This window comes from Homo sapiens, chromosome 16, assembly GCF_000001405.40.
Source record: "Homo sapiens chromosome 16, GRCh38.p14 Primary Assembly".
Lineage (NCBI taxonomy): Eukaryota > Metazoa > Chordata > Mammalia > Primates > Hominidae > Homo > Homo sapiens.
Window position 1 is genome coordinate 24908637 of NC_000016.10, and position 6222 is coordinate 24914858.

The 6222-nt window shown below is 49.1% G+C and overlaps 1 protein-coding gene across 37 annotated transcripts in view; it reads left to right on the top strand.

Moving 5' to 3' along the window:
• SLC5A11 (solute carrier family 5 member 11) overlaps positions 1–2990 on the top strand; it is a 65664-nt gene extending 62674 nt beyond the window's left edge. For 30 of the 37 annotated variants that reach the window (NR_172075.1, NR_147938.2, NR_147935.2 and 27 more), the window contains 3 exons: positions 245–460; positions 1670–1841; positions 2692–2987. Coding sequence is in view for 27 of the 37 variants with exons in the window: in NM_001352249.2 (NP_001339178.1) it covers positions 245–460; positions 1670–1841; positions 2692–2897 (594 nt within the window). In the remaining 10 variants the exon portion in view is untranslated. Of the gene's footprint in view, positions 1–244; positions 461–1669; positions 1842–2691 lie in introns of all 37 variants that reach the window. The other 7 variants (XM_011545725.3, XM_047433573.1, XM_047433574.1 and 4 more) reach the window with 1 other exon arrangement.
• The last annotated feature ends 3232 nt before the right edge of the window (positions 2991–6222 follow it).

The window sequence follows — 6222 nt, forward strand, 5'->3', positions numbered from 1 at the left end:
AAAGTATCTTGATGCATTTTTTGTTATTGAACAGGGAAGCTAAATTAAGAGGGAGTTAGTAAACTATTAGTAATCAATTCATTATAAAAAGATAAATGGTTAAGTATTGCAGAACCTTTTCAAATTGCTGACCCGTGCTTGCAGTGACCACCACAAGAAAGACAAGTCCTGGAGATGGCTTCTTGAGGTTCCTGGAGGCCAGAGCCCTTGGCGTCTCTAAGATGATCTTGCTCTGATTTTGCAGGGTGCCTTCTGGGGCCTGATCTCGGGCCTGCTCCTGGGCTTGGTTAGGCTGGTCCTGGACTTTATTTACGTGCAGCCTCGATGCGACCAGCCAGATGAGCGCCCGGTCCTGGTGAAGAGCATTCACTACCTCTACTTCTCCATGATCCTGTCCACGGTCACCCTCATCACTGTCTCCACCGTGAGCTGGTTCACAGAGCCACCCTCCAAGGAGATGGTACATTTGGGCTGATGGCTAGATCCGTTGAGACTTTTTGTTGGAAGTGACAGAAAACTGACTCAAACTGACTTAAGCGAAGGAGACTGATTGTCCAAAAAGCTGAAAAGTCCAGGGTTGAGGTTCAGGGGCAGGATGATTTGGGACTCTGAAAAGGTCATCAGAATCCATCTGCACTTCTGCTTCAATTCTTAGGTCCCATATGGAGCCCAGTATCTTCTAGAGATACATCCTCTTTTACTGTCATTAAGTAAACATAAGGCTGGGGTGCGGTGGCTCATGCCTGTAATCCCAGCACTTCGGGAAGCTGAGATGGGAGGATCACTTGAGGCCAGGAGTTTGAGACCAGCCTGGGCAATATAGTGAGATCCCGTCTCTTAAAAAAATGAAAAAATTAGCAGGGCGTGATGGCTCATGCCTGTAATCTCAGTTACTAGAGAGGCTGAGGTGGGAGGATTGCCAGAGCCCAGGAGTTTTGATGGTGCAGTGAGCTATGACCATGCCACTGCACTTCCAGCCTTGGTGACAGAGCAAGACCCTGTCTCACAAAAAAAAAAAAAAAAAAAAAAAGGAAAAGAAAAAATTAGCAGGGCGTGATGGCTCATGCCTGTAATCCCAGCTGCTAGGGAGGCTGAGGCAGGAGGATTGCTTCAGCCCAGGAGTTTAAGGCTGCAGTGAGCTATGACCATGCCACTGCACTCCCACCTGGGTGACAGAACAAGAGCCTGTCTTTAAAAAAAAAAAAAAAAAAAAAAAGTAAAAATAAGCATTAATATTTCTGTCCCAGAATTTCTAGAGAATTTCTAGATTTCCATTGATGGAGTCAGCTCAGGACACATGCTCATCCGTGAACCAATTCAATCCCTGTGGCCAGAGAAACGGATGAGCTGAAATGACCAGTTCTGGGGTCCTGCAATACTCTAGGGTGAGGGTTAAGCTCTGGGGATTAGAATGAGGGATAATCACATCCCAGCAACAGGAGGATGGGGTTTATCGGAGAAAGACGTGGGAATGAGCAGGGGAATTGTGCGCTGATGTTGAAGAGTGCAGGAACATGATGCTTGTTGGAGGATGGGGTGGGAGGGTGGGGCTGGGAGCAGATTCAGACACAAAGGCTGAGTGTGGGGTTGGGTGGGGAGTGTGAGAAAAGGATGGACAACCCCGGCCCCACCTCCACCACAAATCTCATCATTCATCCCTGCTCCTTAGGTCAGCCACCTGACCTGGTTTACTCGTCACGACCCCGTGGTCCAGAAGGAACAAGCACCACCAGCAGCTCCCTTGTCTCTTACCCTCTCTCAGAACGGGATGCCAGAGGCCAGCAGCAGCAGCAGCGTCCAGTTCGAGATGGTTCAAGAAAACACGTCTAAAACCCACAGCTGTGAGTAGCTTCTCTCCTCAGTTACAGCAAGAAGGAGTACGTGTTAAAGGGATTGATTTTTTTTTTTTTCCTATCAAATCACAAGCCAGGAAAGTGGGCAGACTTGGAGTTTTAGCATCCTCTGGCTCCAGTGTCTGATCTGTCCCCACGCTCCGGCCATGGGAAAGGAGTTTTTAGTAACTTTCAACAAGCTTCCTACGGGCACTAACAGCAAACAAACACTTGTTGAGTGCCTACGGAGACACGGTTGGTTCATTTCATCCTTATTCTCTGCACATGGGTAGGCAGGAACACAACTTGCCTTCTCTCAGTTAGTGCTTCTAAACTGGCGGCTTGCAGACATATTTTGGCTTAGCCCACCTACAGTTTCAACAAAATGTGAGTTAACATTTAAAAATTGAGAGATTTTGGCCGGTCAGCATGGCTCAGGCCTGTAATCCCAGCACTTTGGGAGGCCGAGGTGGGTGCATCACTTGAAATCAGGAGTTCAAGACCAGCCTGGCCAACATGGTGAAATCCTGTCTCTACTAAAAATATAAAAATTAGCCGGGCATGGTAGCGCATGCCTATAGTCCCAGCTACTTGGGAGGCTGAGGCAGGAGAATCGCTTGAACCTGGGAGGTGGAGGTTGCAGTGAGCCGAGATCACGCCACTGCACTCCAGCCTGGACGACAGAGTGAGACTCTCTCAAAAAAAAAAAAAAAAAAAAGGGAGATTTCAGTCGGGCATAGTGGATGGTGGTTCACGCCTGTAATCCCAGCACTTGAACACATCTGGTGAGTGTCCCTGTCTCACCTCTCTGGGAGATACAGACCACCTCTACGGTCTTCCTTTGCTGGGTTCTTTCTAGGTGACATGACCCCAAAGCAGTCCAAAGTGGTGAAGGCCATCCTGTGGCTCTGTGGAATACAGGAGAAGGGCAAGGAAGAGCTCCCGGCCAGAGCAGAAGCCATCATAGTTTCCCTGGAAGAAAACCCCTTGGTGAAGACCCTCCTGGACGTCAACCTCATTTTCTGCGTGAGCTGCGCCATCTTTATCTGGGGCTATTTTGCTTAGTGTGGGGTGAACCCAGGGGTCCAAACTCTGTTTCTCTTCAGTGCTCCATTTTTTTAATGAAAGAAAAAATAATAAAGCTTTTGTTTACCACAAGGCTTCCAAGTGTTTATAGACCATTTTCAACATGACACTTAGCTCTTTTCTTTTTTCTTTTTTTCTTTTTTTTTTTTTTGAGACAGTGTCTCGCTCTGCCACCCAGGATGGAGTGCAGTGGCATGGTCATAGCTCACTGCAACGTCAAACTCCTGGGCTCAAGTGATCCTCCCTCCTCAGCCTCACAAGTTTCTAGGACTACAGGCACACACTACCATGCCTGGCTAATTTTTCCTTTTTTCAAAGAGATGTGGTCTATGTTGCCCAGGCTGGTCCTGAACTCCTGGCCTCAAGTGATCCCCCCACCTCAGCCTCCCAAAGTACTAGGATTACAGGCATGAGCCACGATGCCCAGCCTCTTTTCTTCTTGAAAATAATGAAGGTTAGAAGATGGAAAGAGGAGAGACATGTAAAAGCTTCCTTTTGCAAAAGACTAGTTATTCATTCTTCTTATCCATTGTGCAACATCAATACCCAAATTCAAAGGGATAAAGAAGCAAAGGGACTTACAAGACCTCCCAGGCTGACAGCAGCCACATCTCCGGGGTTGGATATTTAGCATCTGAACTTGCCCAGCTCACCTTCACAGTGCAAAGAATGGGACCTGCATTCTATCTCTTGCCTTCCACTGTGGCTGGCTTTGGGTGAAGGTCCCCGAGTTTTCTCACTGTGATACTTTCTCCTAGATATTTCTTGGAAATAGACCCCAGTTGGTACTCTGAAATCTTGTGCTGTAAGAAAATCAGGGAATTGTGTGCACTTCTCAAGTTCTGGCTTAGACTCTTGTTTTTGAGACAGGGTCTCTCTCACTCTGTCACCCAGGCTGGAATGTAGTGGCACCCTGAGATCTCACTGCAGTCTTGACTTCCTGGGCTCATGTGATCCTCCCACCTCAGCCTCCTGAGTAGCTGGGACTACAGACATGCACCACCATGCCTGGCTAATTTTTAAAATTTCTTCGCAGAGACATGGGGGGCGGGTCTCTCCTATGTTGCCTGAGCTGGTTTTAACCTCCTGGGCTCAAGCAATCCTCCTGCCTTGGCCTCCCAAAGTGCTGGGATTACAGGTGTGAGCCACGCACCCAGCCTTAGACTGTGTTTCTTTGCTTAATTCCCCATGATGATGCTTCCCTAAAAAGAAGCAGCCAGGTGGATGTGCATCTCAATGAACCTCCCCACCAAAAGCCAGTAAGGCTTTGACCTGCAGAGCAGCGGCCTCCTGTTCTGGGTAGAGCCAGCCTCCTCAGCTTCCCAGCTTTGGGCCCACTGGAGTCTGACGGAATGACCCATCAGGGCTGCGTTTGCCACGTGCAGAGCTAAGAGCAGGACAGGGCCAACGGAGTGAGCCCTGAGACCATCTCTGGAGTAGCTCAGGGCCATGAACCATCCAGGCCTGGGATAAGGTGGGGTGGACTAGAACCCCTTCCTGGCCTGACAGAGCTGGAAAGCAGAGGAGTCTCTCGAGGGACCCCAATTTTCAGACCAGAGGAAAGTAAACAGGACCCCCTGGGGCTGAGGAGCTGCCCACCCACTTAATCCTCCAGTGATGATGTCTTTCTGGTTCCTACTTGATGCCAACAGCTAGGACTGGCCTGGTGCACAGGCAAATAATGTATTGGTCCAGCCTCAGCTCTGCTCATAGGCCCAGCTCTCTACAGGAATCCAAATAGCAGTAGTAGGTTGGACAAAGGGCACCCCCAGCCCTCCTGGGAAGGGGTATGGGCGGGGAACTGGCTGCTAACATGGCTCCAGGCAGGAGCGTGGAATGGTTCTGGAGCAAGTGGGCTCAAGGAGAAGTCTTCACCGGGGAGGTTGAGCTTCTGCCTCCAAGGCCCAAAGAAGGGGAGTGGGCGGCATGGGAGGCTTCCACTACAGTCCTGAGCTCCCCGTCCAAGCCTGCCCCTCACACCAAGACCCCTGTTGCCTCTGGCTGGGGTCAACAGTGTGTTTCAGCAGGGACGCACTGAGCTGTCACTATGATAGCTCAGGCCACCCCCATCTCTGCCCGGACTCCTGACTGCCTTCTCACATCCAGTCTTCCCATTCTCCAGCCACTGGCAGGGTGAGCAACTCGGATCAAGCCAATCCTCTGCTTGGAATCCTTCAGAGACCTTCCCACTCAGGATGAACTCTGCAATCCTTTGCCTTCCTTTTTTTTTTTTTTTTTTTTTTTTTTTTTGAGACAGGCTCTCACTCTGTTGCCCAGGCTGGAACACAGGGTGCGATCATGGCTCAATGCATTCTCAAACTCCCAGGCTCAGGTGATCCTCCCACCTCAGCCTCCTGGGTAGCTGGGACTACAAGTACGCACCACCATGCCTGGCAATTTTTGTTGGTTGTTGTTGTATTTTGTGGAGAAGGCATTTTGCCATATTGCCCAGGCTGGTCTCCAACTCCTGGGCTCATGTGATCCACCTGCCTTGGCCTCCCAAAGTGCTGGGATTACAGGTGTGAGCCCCCATATCTGGCCTTTTTTTTTTTTTTTTTTTTTTTTTTTTTTTTTACAGACAGGGTCTTGCACTTTGTCACCCAGGCTGGAGTGCATTGGCATGATCATGACTTACTGGACCCTCGAACTCCTGCCTCAACCTCTTGAGTAGCTGGAACTACAGACATTTGGCCACCATACCTGGCTAATTTTAATTTTTTTATGTAGATGGGGTCTTACTATGTTGCCCTGGCTGGTCTCAAACTGCCGGCTTCAAGCAATTCACCCACCTCAACCTCTCAAAGTGCTGAGATTACAGGTGTGAGCTGCTGTGCCCAGCCAGCTGAGAGATTTTAAATGTTCTCGCCACAAAAAATAAATGATAATGGAGGTGATGGATATATTAATTAGCTAGATTTAACCATTCTGCAATGTATACATATACAAAAACATGTCGTATACCATAACTTTTATCAATTTAAAAAACCAGTGCAGTGCAAATACAATTTACAGATGTGCACAGAAACTGAATTCAGGCCAGGTGCAGTGGCTCACATCTGTAATCCCAGCACTTCAGTGGGCTGAGGTGAGTGGATCACCTGAGGTCAGGAGTTCAAGACCAGCCTGGCCAACAGATCAAAACCTCATCTCTACTAAAAATAAAAAAATTAGCCTGGCATGGTGGTGGGTGCCTGTAGTCCCAGCTACTTGGGAGGCTGAGGCAGGAGAATGGCTTGAACCTGGGAGGCAGGGGTAGCAGTAAGCCGAGATCATGTCACTGCACTCCAGCCTGGGTGACAGAGCA